The sequence below is a fragment of the Homo sapiens genome, chromosome 9 (assembly GCF_000001405.40).
Source record: "Homo sapiens chromosome 9, GRCh38.p14 Primary Assembly".
In the NCBI taxonomy this organism is placed as follows: Eukaryota; Metazoa; Chordata; class Mammalia; order Primates; family Hominidae; genus Homo; species Homo sapiens.
In genome coordinates this window covers 133,570,051-133,582,877 of record NC_000009.12, presented here as the reverse complement: position 1 = coordinate 133,582,877, position 12,827 = coordinate 133,570,051, and the positions used below count along the sequence as shown (strand labels likewise).

Below are 12,827 nucleotides of genomic sequence, written 5' to 3'. Positions count from 1 at the left end.
CAACATGTGGCTGAAAACCCCACCCGTGGCTACAGCCTGGCCACAGCCTGAGCACTCATGTCTCTACCCAAGGTCAAGCGACCAGCAGGGACCGGCCAGTGTCTCAGGCCTTAATTCCATTTCCCAGGAGAGAGGCCGGCTGGCCCAGCCTGGGGTGCACGTCCATCCCAAACCCAATAAACTGTGGCCGAAAGGACAGCAGCAGAGGGCTCAGAAGTGGCCACCAGCCTCTTGGCTCAGGGCACAAAGAAGAGGGCCATGGCTGGGCCAGCACCCCCAAACCTGCTATCAGCACAGTGTGTGCTTCCCCAAAGGAGCTGTGGCATTCAAGGCATTCACGTGGAGGAGACATGGGGTTCAGCAGTCGGGGTAGGGTGGCAGGGGCCCCAAGGTGGATGGTAGCAGCGGATCCAGCCCTGACCTGACCCAGATCCCTCATCTTACTGGTGCTGGGGCCTGGGCGGGTCATTTCTCTCCAGGCCTCGGTTTGCTCCCTAGTGGGATCATTTGAACATCAAAAAGAATCATGACTGCAGTGGACTGAAACGCATCAAATATATTTTCAAAAATCAGTGAGATTGCACTGGGCAAGTTTCCACGTAGAAAGGCAAGCTGGGGCAGACAACAGGCTGGGACCAGTAGGCACGCGGGGCCTGCAAAGGGGGCAGGGTCACTTTTGGTTCACTGAGAGGTGTGGATCTGGGCTGGCCTGTTCTCCGTCCTCTCGGCACACACACAGCCACAAACCTCAGGGCACCAGCTCATTCTGATCCCTGATAAAGGGAGGAATGGAACCTCTGAGCCTTCCCTCTGCAGGCCGCATGCTAGGGTAACCACACAGATGATAAAGGCATGTGCTTTAGAGCTTTTTCAAGAAGAACTGGAGCTCATAAACGTGGAAAGAAGGATAACATTTGGAAAGTCACTACTTTGTAACTCCTAGTGAAGTAACAGATCCAGGTCACGCACAGGATGCTGCAGCAATGGGCTGGGAGACCCCCCGGAATCTGGCAATGGAAGAACTGGCCGAGAGCAGCTGCAGTCATTAGCTGATTGTGACGTCAAGATGAGGGGGACAGCAGACACCAGGCCCCTGGGAGTGATGCAACAGGAAGCCAGTTTAGAGGAGAAACACTGATAAAGGAGCATGTTCAATGCCATGCGAGGAATCCCGGCCAGCTCCAGTGCCTGGAAAATTCTGTCAGATAAACAACCCAGTTTCTCCAATAAACAACATGGGGGTGCGGGGCGTGAATGGGTTTTGAGCTGTTCTAGAGCAAAAGGAGCCAAAAGCAAGTACATCCTGATTTGAACTAACCAACCGTAAAAAAGGCATTTCAGAGACGACAGGAGAAAGCTAAACGTAGGCTGGGTAATTTTTTTAAAATCCTCCTCCGTCAGATGCTGCACTGGAGTATTTATGGGTAAAGTGATATGCTCTGTGATTTCCTTTAAAATACTCCAATCTCTTCCTCCACCCCATACCCCAGCAAGAAAAAAAAATAAAAATGAGGCTTGGGAAATTGAGGAAGGGAAGTGGCGCCAGCTCCCACTGCTCTGTGAGAGGTGATTGTGAAGAATTTAGGAATTTTGTAAGCCGCTTGTCAAACCTTGCTTGAACTGAAACTGGCCATGGTAAGAAAATCTACACCACAAAAATCAGCAAATGCTCCCAGCCGGGTGCTTTGAGAGCTGGTTTATCAGCACAGCCCAGGACAGGGATGAGCTGAATGCAGCAGCCACTGACAGCATCACTCCAGCCTCCCTGCGTTGTGTTTGATGGACATTTTCCACAAGAAGGAGTTTGCAAAGGGCATGTCCCTAGGCCTGGAAATCCCACTTCTAAGAATGTATCCTGAAAGCCACTGAAGCAGGTTCAGGTGGTTCCCATTACTTAGCTACAAAGACGCTTATTAAAACATTGCTAAAAATATTTCTTTAATGTAAGAAGCCCAAACGTCAGGCAGGAATTGGTTTTCAGTTTTGCAAGATGAAAAATTCTGGAGATTAGTTGCCCAACAGTGTGAAATATAATTCATGCTACTAAGCCGCACACGTACAAATGGTGAAGATGGTACATTTTATGTGTGCTTTACCACAATTAAGCATTTTAAAGAAAAGGAGTCAGTTACATGAAACAATGGAATCGGGTTAGAGACTATGTTGCAGAAGAAAATTTAAGGATATGGCAGAATAATGGTGACTGTGTGAGATGAAAATGCAGGGAAGCAGGTTACAAAACCATATGTTCGGCCTGACTGCATTTGGGTAAATTTAAAAACGTGCAAGCTTGTAGAGCCAGGCTGGAAGGGCGCCATTCATTGACAGCATGCTACACTAAGCATGGAGAGACACGCTTGTAAAAGTGTCACAAAACCCTGTGCTATTAGCATCCACCTTCTACGGATGTGGAAGCTGAGGCTGGGAGAGGGGCAGGGACAGAGGCCAGCTGAGGCAGAGCAGGACCTGGGCTCCTGCTGCACCCCGTCCCCGGCAGAGCCCCTGCCTCTCACAGGCACATCCTGGGGTGCTTTTTTCCCCTCAGCTTGTCTTCTCAGTTCTCTAGAATAGCACGAGTGACTTTTGTGGTGAGGAAGCGTGATGCTCTAAAGCTGGCGGCGTGTGTTGCAGGCTGTTGATGGAGAAGGGGGCGGATGACAGCCGGGACCGTGGTCATCACCGGGGGCATCTTGGCGACTGTGATTTTGCTCTGCATCATCGCTGTTCTGTGCTACTGCCGGCTCCAGGTATTCCCGGGCGGCGGGGAAGGGGACAGGGCAGGGAGGCCCAGAGGGTGCCCCTACCTCGGGAGGGAGCCCCGCCTGAAGGTCACAAGGGTCACGGCCCGGGAAGTGGGGAAGAGCCCTGTGGCAGAGAAGACACACAGCAGAAGGCAGCAGGACCCTACCATGGGGCTCAGTAAGATGCGCCTGACTCCCCTCACCCAGAGCTTATAAAGAGGCTCAGAGACGGGAAGGGACTTAGCCAAGGGCACCAGCTGCCCAAAAGGAGTGTCACAGTGAGCAATCCTTCCCACCTGCACTCCAGGGCCATCCAGAGTCTCCATGTCTCCCTGAGAGATGAGGGGGAGCCATCGGGGCAGGGCGAGGCAACACAGCTGCCAGTGCCTGTGACCCCCGGCTCTGCTGATGTGGGGCTGCGAACCCCTCCACGCCTCAGTCTCCCCACCTGCAAAATGGAGATAACAGTCACACCTGCACGTTGCTGGGCGGAAGAGATGAGTGGATCGTTGTGAAGTGCTCAGCACTGCGCCTGGCCTGAGTGAGACCCATAGCACTGGTTAAACAGCTGAGGTGTCAGGCCTGGGCTTGGGCCACCCCACTCCCACCGTGCCTATCTCCCCTCCCCAGTCAGGGGTAGCCTTTCCCACATGTCGGTTCTGGGGTGGGAGCGGGCGGCCGCATGGTCACCGTCCCTCTGCCCGCAGTACTACTGCTGCAAGAAGGACGAGTCGGAGGAGGACGAGGAGGAACCAGACTTCGCCGTTCACTCGCACCTGCCCCCGCTGCACTCCAACCGCAACCTGGTGCTGACCAACGGGCCGGCGCTCTACCCCACCGCCTCCACCTCCTTCAGCCAGAAGTCCCCGCAGGCCCGCGCCCTCTGCCGCAGCTGCTCCCACTGCGAGCCCCCCACCTTCTTCCTGCAGGAGCCGCCGGAGGAGGAAGAGGACGTGCTGAACGGCGGGGAGCGCGTGCTCTACAAGAGCGTGAGCCAGGAGGACGTGGAGCTGCCCCCGGGGGGCTTCGGGGGCCTGCAGGCGCTCAACCCCAACCGCCTCTCAGCCATGCGGGAGGCCTTCGCCAGGAGCCGCAGCATCAGCACCGACGTGTGACCTGGGCCCGCCCCCGGGATCCTGGCCTTGAAGGTCCTGAGACAATGGGGGGATTCCTTTGGCACACCCACCTGGCCCCAGGCCCCAAGTGGGGCTTGGCTGAGCCCTCCTGGAATCCCTGTCCTCAGGGGAGGCCCAGGCTTGGGGAGCCCCCAGGCTCGTGGCAGGGATAAGGCTCATTGAACACAAATGTGTCCTGGGGGGAGGCACAGCTGGGGCCTGGGGCTAGAAGGACCAGGTGACCATACAGCCGGCTGGGCATGCACCAGGGCTCTCAGGCACAGAGGCCACCGTTACTCCTGATGATTCTGTCTCAGACCCAACAACCTGGCCTTCCCAGGAGGTCTCCATGTGTCACCCCCTCCCTGGGTCTCACCCTTCTCACCTGCTCAAGGAAGGGATGACCTCAGTGAGGCCCAGGGCCCTGCAGCAAGGCCCTCCCTGGCAATTGCAGACCAAGGATTCTGCTCCTCCACCTTGAACTCCAGCCTCTTTCTCTCCATTTTTCCCTCTCTCTCCCCTACCCGTCTCTCCCTCTCTCTCACACACACACTCTTCCGGGTTCAAGGGCCAAGTGTCTGCCTAGGCTGAGACACGTGCTGAGCTCCCTGAAGATGGACCAGCTGCCCCCTAGAAGGGAGACTTTCAGGGGCATCAGGGCCCTTGGGATGCTCCGCCCTGACCAGCTTTTTGGTGGCAGAGGGAGGCACGGGGAGAGGGAGAGGCCATGTCGCAGTCCCCCTGCCGTGGGAGAGGCAACGTGGAAATGTATAGACCCAGTGCTCAGCCAGAAACAGGGCCAGCAAGCGGCAGTGAACGGAGGCAGCCCGGGGCTCGTCAGGGGCAGAGCCATGGCCCAGGGGTTGAAAACCCCCGAGTTCCCCGTGAGACTTGGCTGGCCCTTCCCACCCCTGGGCCTCAGTCTCCCCATCTTGTGTGATGAGGAGAGACCCTGAGGACAGAGGTCTTCAGGCTGTGGGTCTCAACAGGAACTGAGATCCCCAAGGGAGACAGAGTTGCAGGTCACCTCCCCTACCTGCTTCTCAGCAGGACCTAGGAGGCCTGGCCCAGCTCCTGGTGGACCCCAAGCAGCCAGAGCCTACTGCTGCCATCTGAAGACCTCATCTGAGCCCACTTTCCACCAAGCGCCCACCCAGGCTGAGGTCTCCTGGGAATTCTCACCCGCTCTCCTGCTGCTAAGGAAATGACGTCAATGGCTACCCCAGAGAAATGCCCCACATCCCAGGACACCAGCCATCAGGAAGGCAGCTCTTCCTCACCCAGAAAGAGGCAATTATTTCCTCTCAGCAGCCTGGCCCCAGGAGCCCCCTTCCCTCTCTGGGGCTCTGCCTCTCCTTTTGTGCCCTGCCATGGAGCCCCAGGGCCGGGGCAGCCCCTCTCTGCCCAGGGAAGGCACCGCCCTCAAAGACAAGGCTTGGCCGGGCAGTGACCTTCCCTGAGCGGAGGGGTGGCTTGAGCAGGACACTTCTTGCCCTTACTCAAAAACGAAATGGCCAGTTTCCAGAGGCGTCGGGGGAACGGCTGACGAAGTCACAATCGTTATGTTCTCAATTGTTTTCCTCCTCTTACTTTCTCTCCTGCCTCGTTTGGACAGGCCAGTGGCATTCGCCCTTGAGGTCCCTCGCAGCCCCGGCCCCCCGGGCCCGCCCACACCTCTGGCTTCCTCTGTGCATCCTGTGAAGTCTGTTTCTGATGCGTTGGCGTGGGGGGTGGGCTGGGTGGGGTGGGGATGAGGGCCCAGCCCTCATGATTCCATTTCCCAATTCCTTTCTGGTCTCCATCCTCTCTGTAGATATGTAGATCTCTTTGAAACGAAGTAAGCACCCATCCCTCCCAGCTCACTCGGCTCCACCGTGGGGACCTGCTGGGGGAGCCGCTGGCTCCCTGAGGAAAGTGAAAGCCAATAAAACATCTCCCACACTCTCGTGCAGCGTCTTCCGTCCTCCCGGGTGTCCAGGCCGTCCACACCCACGCTCTTCAACCTTCTGGGAGGGGCTTCCTCCCACCCCGCAGGAGGCAGAGTCAGCTTCTCCTTCCGGATGCAGCCAGTCAGGCCAGGGCTCTGCCCGGCGGGGCCGAGAGCTCCTCTCTGGCTTGGGGGCACAGCAGTGGGCCACGTTTGATTTTGAGTTTCCCGGTGGCTATCCATCTTCCAGCATTGAGAACTACCAGAGTGGACTCTGAACCCCTGGACAGAGGGTTGTGGGGGGGACAGGCTGGGTCCCCTGGGACAAGTGACAGAGCATCTCTGGGCCTCAGTTTTAGCCTCCACACAATGGGGTAATCGCGATGCCTATATCGTGGGGACCTTTGGAAGATAAATCCAGGCAGCACCGAGGAGGTGCTGGGCACAGAACCTGGCATACAGTAAGTGTATAATAAATGTTGGCAGAAAGGAGAAGCCGGGAGGAAACAGTAAGACAGGAAGATGTGGGTTGGGGGACACAGGAGGAGAGAAGAACAGCGAGGTGAGGGCGGGCAAAGGGTGAGGTGGGCAGAGAGGCCTCAGACCCCGGGGTCTCAGGACTCGGTTCTGTCCGGCCCAAGCTGGTGACCTTGAGCAAGTCCATCCCAGGGGCCTCTTAATTCCTGGACTTTAGGGATTGAAAGGACCATCCTGATTGCAGCGCCTCAGTGCACACGCGTGCAGGCACACTCAGAGGCAAGAACACACTGGGGGGGGGGGTGCTGCCTTAGTTTCCCCAGAGCCCCAAGTCCTTCAGAAGCCCCCCTAAAGCTGTGATGGACGCTGCTGTGGCTCCCAGTCTGAGAACAAGCTGGCCTCACATCGAGGAAGCAGCCCGGCAGCCACTCACCTCCCGACTGCCTGCGTGCTCAGAGACACCTCCTGGGGCCTCTCCGGGCGGTACAGCCCCGTCCTTCCTCCCATGCAGCGTCCTCCAGCTGTGTCACTTTTCCTCTCCTGAGTGCTCTTTGCTGCCCTCTTGTCTGGGAAAAGCCACTCCTGCTGCTGGGTCAACCAAGCAGCCCCTCCCCAGAAGCCCCTGCGTTCCTGCACCCACAAGTCCGGGTCAGGAAGCCCTCCATGAGCTCCAGGAGCGGCAGTGACGGTGCTGTTTCCTGAGGCTCAAGGTGGGCCCAGCCCCGCGCCCCCAACACCTGCCTCATCTCCTCTGTTCTTGCCCACGCACTTGGAGGTGGGTGCCCTACACCTTAGCCAAGGTCCCTGCCCCCTGCCCCCACAGGTCCTGTACCAGTTGCTGATGGGCTCGAGATGTCCACTCCTACTCCAGCGCCTGAGTCCCAGTGTCCCCAGACGCCCTCCCTGCACACTCCCCACGCCTCTCGTTGCCTTTTATCTGCGTCTGTCTTTCTCCTCAGAGCAGGTGCTGTGGTCCCCCACGGCCCACCCCTGCCCCTGAGGCCTCAGTGAGCTGGAGGGACCCCACACAGCCAGGCCTGGGCCCTCCAATCCCCAGGCCACCCACTTCTCCAGCCAGAGGCAACTGAGACCCCATGATGCCGCCATAAATAGGACCACTTTATTAACGTAGATGAGCACTGACGCTGACTGCAGGGGCGGGGGCCGAGGTCCATCCCCAAACGTCCCGTGGGCAAGCGCCTCTGCCCGGGGTAGAAAGTGCGGCGGGAAGAGAGCTCCATGGGAGGGGCTCCATAAGAGGGAGCACGCCTGGGCCTCCTTGGCTGCCTGAGCCCCTCTCACCCCATGGCCTCTGAGGGAGGAAGGCCCCCCACCACGTTGGGCTCGCCTGCAAGTTTCCTTCAGAAGGCCCTGCCACCCAGAGAGGGCGTGGGCTACGGGCCCGGAGCAAGACACCTCCACCGCTGGCTGTGGGCCCTGGGCCCCTCGGCTGGGGGCTGCTGGGGGGCTGGGGAGTGGGAGCCACAAACACAGGATCCACGCAGGAACACGGACAGGTTCCCACGGCAGGGGTGGCTCTGTCTGGGGGAGGCCACTGGGTGCCGGAGGCTCTGCCCCAGGAGCACAAAGGTCCACGGGCCGTGGGAAGTCCCCTCTCGACAGCCGAGGCTCAGTGCCACGTCTCTTAGGCCAGCGTGCCCCGCAGGAGGGGGGTCTGTGGAGGCCCCAGAAGCTGCAGCAGCCCCAGGAGGGGCGCTTGGTCTTCATCTGGAAGGGGCTGCAGCTGCCGGGCCTAGGAGTGGGGGGGCCTGCAGGAGCGGCAGCACGCCTTGCTGTAGTACCAGTGCCCGCAGAGGTTCACTTTGATGGCCAGGGCACAGTTGGTGCCTGGCTGGTCCTGGCAGCTGTCATCTGGAGAAGGAACACAGAGCGAAGCAGGGCAGTTTCAGGAGGTGGCCAAGGGGCGAAAACCCCAGGGACCCCCACGTGCCGTTTTCCAGGGGCAGTGGGCCTCCCACCCCGTGGTGGGTCTCCATCTCTAGCTCTCTGCCCCCTCCTTCCTGGCCCATCTCTGTCCCCAAGATGTCGCTGTCCCAGATCATGCCAGGTGATTTGATCTGTGTCCCAAGAGGAGTGATGCCTAAAGGAGCTACAGATGTCACACCCAGAGGCCTAAGCATCCCCAAGGGTTCCACAGGGGCCCCCCGTCCACCACTCAATGTATCCAAAGCATAACTCATCACGTGCCCTGCACCTGGCACCCTGTCCCTCCTCCAGGTGCCCAGGCCCTGCTTCAGCTGCTCCCCTCCCTGCCCCCTGTGTGCCAGCCCCTGGCCGCTCCAGCTGAGTCATCCTGGATTCAGGTCTTGGCCCCACAGTGGCCCTGCCATCTGAAGCTGACCCTTTTCCCAAAGTACAGGTCTCAGCATGGCTCCCTGGGGCCATGGAGCCCCAGTCAGGCCTCCCCCATTCCCCTTCCCTCTCTCCCCTCCCAGTGGGGCTCGGCCATGCCGGGAGGGAGCCCCCACTCCCTGCACAGCTTGGTCTCTCAAGCTGGTTCCCAGGCTCGCCATCAAGGTGAGCAATGTCTGCTCACCCCTCAGGCCCTGACTCTGTCCTCGCCTCCCCTGGGAATTCCCAGAGCCACCCTCGGCCTCCCCGCGCCTCACCTGGGGGCTCCGTGGGGCAGGGCTGCAGATCACAGGCCTGTCTGCCAACGGGCTTCACCAACGGATCGCAACCACGGACGATGTCGGTCCCCTGGTAGCACTTGACGTCTCGCATCCTCACGCCCACCCCGCAGGTCTTGGTGCACTGGTGTGGGAGAGACAGAAGGCATGGGGAAAGCCTCCTGATGGGGCAGGGGCCTGGGCAGGGGGCGGGGAACCTGCACACTCCCCCTTCCCCACCCCACCCTTCCCAGGCGGCCATGAGTCCCAACTGACACAGGACCCGTGGAAGCCCATTTGAAACTAGACCTGCGGCTCCAAGGCTGAGTTGAGATGCCGACAAAAGGGCACTGGCTGGCATTCGGGAGGCTCTGATTGTCTCCCACCCAGGGCTGCCTCAGTCTCCCCAGATCCACAGTGAGGGGTGGTCCCTCCTCTCTCATTTCCCAGGGGGTCCAGGCACTAGCTGGCCGTCAGGAGGATCTGATTCTCTCCCCACGCAGGGCTGCCTCAGTCTCCCCAGATGCACAGTGAGGGGTGGTCCCTCCTCTCCCATCTCCCTGAGGGTCCTCTGGCCCCAGCTTTCCTGGGTCTGTGGTGCAGACTGTTTGTTGTGGGCCGATCAAATGCATCTCGCGAAGTCACCACCCCCTCCAGTGGCTCCCCGTCCAGATGTTCCCCTTGGAAAACCCCGCTGAGCTCCCCAGAACACCAGAGACATCTGCTGGCCCCAGTCACCCTGCTGTCCTCCTGCCAAGATCCCACAGGCGGTGGCTCCCTCACACTCCCCCCAATGTGGGTGACCCCACATCATCCAGGCACGTCTGGGACCTGAGCCCTCTGTCCTCTGAGATGGGTGGGGTGGGAGGCCCTGGCCCTGGGACCCACTCTCCACTTCTGTTTGCAAAGGAGCAAGGAAGACCGATTAAGACTTGGCAGAAAGACTGCTGCCTGCCTGCCTGCTCCGAGCCAGGGGGTGGGGGCTGGCACCGTCTGCAGGCGAGGAGAGGCTGGCTTGGCGCTGACGGCGTGAGGACAATCAGCCTTTGGCAGGGCCCTGAGGAGCCTCTGGACGTGCCTCTGGAGAGCAGCACATTCCCGGCCAGCCCTGGTGCCAGCTCCTCTGCCCCTGGGGAGTGGATGGGACTGGGCAGCTGGGGCAACAAACACTGACTGAGCCGCCGCTATGCACCGGCATCGGGGGGCAGCCACCAGGAAGAAGGAGTCCACGCGCCCACCAGCCGTCTGTGCCAGCTGCACCTCGTCTGGCCCTGCCACCTCCTCATCAGGGCTAGGGGGATGCTCCTCCCCAGCACCCCAGGCTGTCCTTCTGGGGTCCCCGCTTCATCGCTTCATGGCTCCCCCCGTGCCATGGCTCATCACCCAGCAAGGTACCTGCACCTAGTGGGTCCGTGTTTCCTGGCCCCACAGTGGCCCCCCCATCTGAAGCTAGTGCTCTTCCCAAACTACAGACCTGGGCTGGCTCCCTGGGGCCCTGGAACCCCAGTCAGCCTCCCTGCCCCTTCCCACTCTCCCTCCCACCGGGCTTAGCCTTTCCAGAAGGAGGCTTCAGGGCCCGGCACGCCGTGGTCTCTCCAGCTGACTCCCGGCAAAAGCCGGCTCACCCTTCAGGCCCTGGCTCTGCCCAGGCCTCCCCTGGGAAGCCCCAGGCCCACCCTCAGCCTTTCCCCTCCTCACTCGGGGGTCCTTTGGTGGGCAACAGGGAATGAGTGAGTGTGTGTTCTCCCTCCTGAACAAGCATGTGTGCTACAGGGCAGGCAGAGGCCCTGGGGCGGGGTGGGGGGTGGGGGGTGGCGGGGCAGGGTGGAGGCCAGACACCACCAAGCGTGCACGAGGAGCCTGGGACCTGGCAAGGGCCCGGGGCCTGGACCCCAATCTCTGAGCAGGGCCGCACTGGGGTCCCCAGCTCGCTCCTCACAGACTCTTGGACTCTCTGCCTTGAACTCATAAGGTTTAGGATCTTGCATCCACCCGCCACAGCAACCAAGACTTGGAGCCCTCGGGCGCCAGGGCCTGATACACACCTGGGCACTTCACCATGAACGTTCCAGGCTCTGAGTTCCGTCTGACACCCCCATTTTGTCGCCTGGGTATTCAGAGTTGGCCCATCAGGAAACTGAGGGCAGAGGTAGCTGGAGACCCCAGGTAAACAGCCTGGCTATGGAAGCACCTGCCCAGTGATTCCCAGATACCCTCTGGACACCCCCAGGTCCCCCTCTCAGAAGCTCATGGCATTGCCAGGTGTGAGGCGGCTGGGTCTGGGGCCAGGGCTGGCGCTGCTGTGAAAGGGGCACGGATGGCTGATGTGTCACAGCTGATGTGAGTTACTCAAGCTGGAGTCTAGACAGGGCTGCCTCCGTGGGGCCCAGAAGGCAGAGGGGCACCCACTGGCACATGGCGAGGCTCTGGAGTCACCCGGAGGCCCCACAGGAAGTGCAGCAGAAGGGGAAAACAGCAGGAGAGGTGAAAGCAACCTGTTTGCTCTGCAAGACAACTGGGGGCGAGGGGGCACCCAGTTTGCCACCCCCTCTGTGAAACCAGGGCTGCCCACCCACCTCGGGGCTCCCTGCCCAGGGCCCCTTGGGATGAGCTGGTTCAGGCCCCCCTTCCCTTGCAGATGCCACACCCCACCTGGGTTTCACTCTAGTGCCATGGACAGGCCTGGCCTCCAATGTCTGCTACAGCCCCCAGTAACTGTGGGACCCCGAGTGGGCCAGAGAGCTCCCTGAACCTCTGAGGAATGGGGAAAAGAACCTCTCCTCATGGCACTATTGGGAGAGAGGAGACCCTTCAGGCAAAGAACTGGGTGAGGGTTGCCACACGTGCCTCAGGGCCTCAGGGTGGGAGGGCTCTCCTCCCCTCTACAAAGAGAACCGCGATCTCAGCATAGTCCTGCCTCACATCCTGACGCTGGGGCATTCTGGGGGCCCAAGAGTCAAAGAATCTCGGAGGGGCCAGACCCGTGCAGGAGACGTACTGCCCTTCCCTCTGGCCCCGCCGGTGTCCTGACATGGGGGTGCATGTCTATTACTGTCTCCCTAAATTCCAAGCGGCTGCCTTGGCTGTGGCTCCCAGAGGGCCAAGCCTGTGTCTGCCTCAGCCCAATCTGCTCCCCCCGCCCACCTGGGGTCTGTCTGTCCCGCGGTGTCCGGCACATGGGCTGCCAAACATGCAACTTAGAGGCCACAATTCGAGGCCGGAGTTCCCGGGCCCAAAAAGGCCCAGGACGAGTGCCGTAGGGATCCCAGGGACAAGATCAGAGAAGGCTTCCTGGAGGTGCTGGCTCTCGCACCAGCTGACGTGGTGGAGTTGAGAAGCTTTCCCGGGAAGGAAAGCCCTCACAGAGGCTGTCAGGGAGGGAGGAGCAGGAAGCACTTAAGGAGGCTTGAGGCGGGAGGGGCGGGATCGACATTCAGGTCTGGCCTCAGGCAACCTCAGAGGGGCCGGCTGGGAGCTCACCTCTGACCAGGGGCTGGTGTACCACTTGAAGCAGGGCCTCTCGAAACACGTGCTCTCCTCGGGAGGCTTCTTGGCGAGCCCGCACTCGGGGCCACTGCGCGTCTGCGGCTTCCCGTTGGCCAGCTCCATGCAGAGCACCAGCCGCTTCTTGACCCCGCGCCCGCAGGTGGTGTTGCACTGAGGCCGGGGCAGAGGGAGCGGGTCAGCGCCAGGGCCCAGCAGGACCCTACACACAGGGCCCACGGCGACTCTGGTGACAACGGGCTGGTCAATAGCAATTGGGTGAGAATGCTCCAGTGCATAACAAACTGGCTGGAAACTCTTTGTTCGATAACCATTTGGCCCCAGATGGATTTGATCAAAAGCAATTTAGCACATAACCATCTGTTTTGAAACAAATTGGCTAATGACAATCTGGCCAGTGATGATTTGGCCAAAATCAATTTAGCAGAAAACA

At 60.2% G+C, this 12,827-nt stretch overlaps 2 protein-coding genes and 1 long non-coding RNA gene across 18 annotated transcripts in view, besides 2 other annotated features; 1 reads left to right on the top strand and 2 right to left on the bottom strand.

The window, feature by feature from the left end:
* Nucleotides 1–5,797, top strand: part of FAM163B (family with sequence similarity 163 member B) — a 32,309-nt gene extending 26,512 nt beyond the window's left edge. For 10 of the 11 annotated variants that reach the window (NM_001080515.3, XM_047423715.1, XM_047423714.1 and 7 more), the window contains 2 exons: nucleotides 2,632–2,747; nucleotides 3,449–5,797. In NM_001080515.3, the coding sequence (NP_001073984.1) occupies nucleotides 2,655–2,747; nucleotides 3,449–3,856 (501 nt within the window). In that variant the 5' untranslated portion in view covers nucleotides 2,632–2,654 and the 3' untranslated portion in view covers nucleotides 3,857–5,797. Of the gene's footprint in view, nucleotides 1–769; nucleotides 1,373–2,631; nucleotides 2,748–3,448 lie in introns of those variants that run through there. The other variant, XM_006717233.4, reaches the window with a different exon arrangement.
* Nucleotides 539–3,440, bottom strand: LOC124902296 (uncharacterized). Its single transcript, XR_007061833.1, has 2 exons — nucleotides 3,038–3,440; nucleotides 539–1,093 (listed from the first exon to the last, which is right to left on the bottom strand). It is a non-coding gene; the product is annotated as an uncharacterized LOC124902296 (long non-coding RNA).
* Nucleotides 4,653–5,268: an enhancer, noted in NCBI's record as "H3K4me1 hESC enhancer chr9:136442732-136443347 (GRCh37/hg19 assembly coordinates)". NCBI's record gives its function as "activates a minimal SCP1, AML or CMV promoter by ChIP-STARR-seq in naive H9 embryonic stem cells {active_cell/tissue: H9 hESC(naive)}" and the evidence as "EXISTENCE:reporter gene assay evidence [ECO:0000049][PMID:30033119]".
* Nucleotides 7,359–12,827, bottom strand: part of ADAMTSL2 (ADAMTS like 2) — a 43,356-nt gene continuing 37,887 nt past the window's right edge. For all 6 annotated transcript variants that reach the window (NM_001145320.2, NM_014694.4, XM_011519241.3 and 3 more), the window contains 3 exons: nucleotides 12,371–12,547; nucleotides 8,891–9,035; nucleotides 7,359–8,132 (listed from right to left, as the gene is read on the bottom strand). In NM_001145320.2, the coding sequence (NP_001138792.1) occupies nucleotides 8,014–8,132; nucleotides 8,891–9,035; nucleotides 12,371–12,547 (441 nt within the window). In that variant the 3' untranslated portion in view covers nucleotides 7,359–8,013. The remainder of the gene's footprint in view (nucleotides 8,133–8,890; nucleotides 9,036–12,370; nucleotides 12,548–12,827) is intronic.
* Nucleotides 10,922–11,562: an enhancer, noted in NCBI's record as "H3K4me1 hESC enhancer chr9:136436438-136437078 (GRCh37/hg19 assembly coordinates)". NCBI's record gives its function as "activates a minimal SCP1, AML or CMV promoter by ChIP-STARR-seq in primed H9 embryonic stem cells {active_cell/tissue: H9 hESC(primed)}" and the evidence as "EXISTENCE:reporter gene assay evidence [ECO:0000049][PMID:30033119]".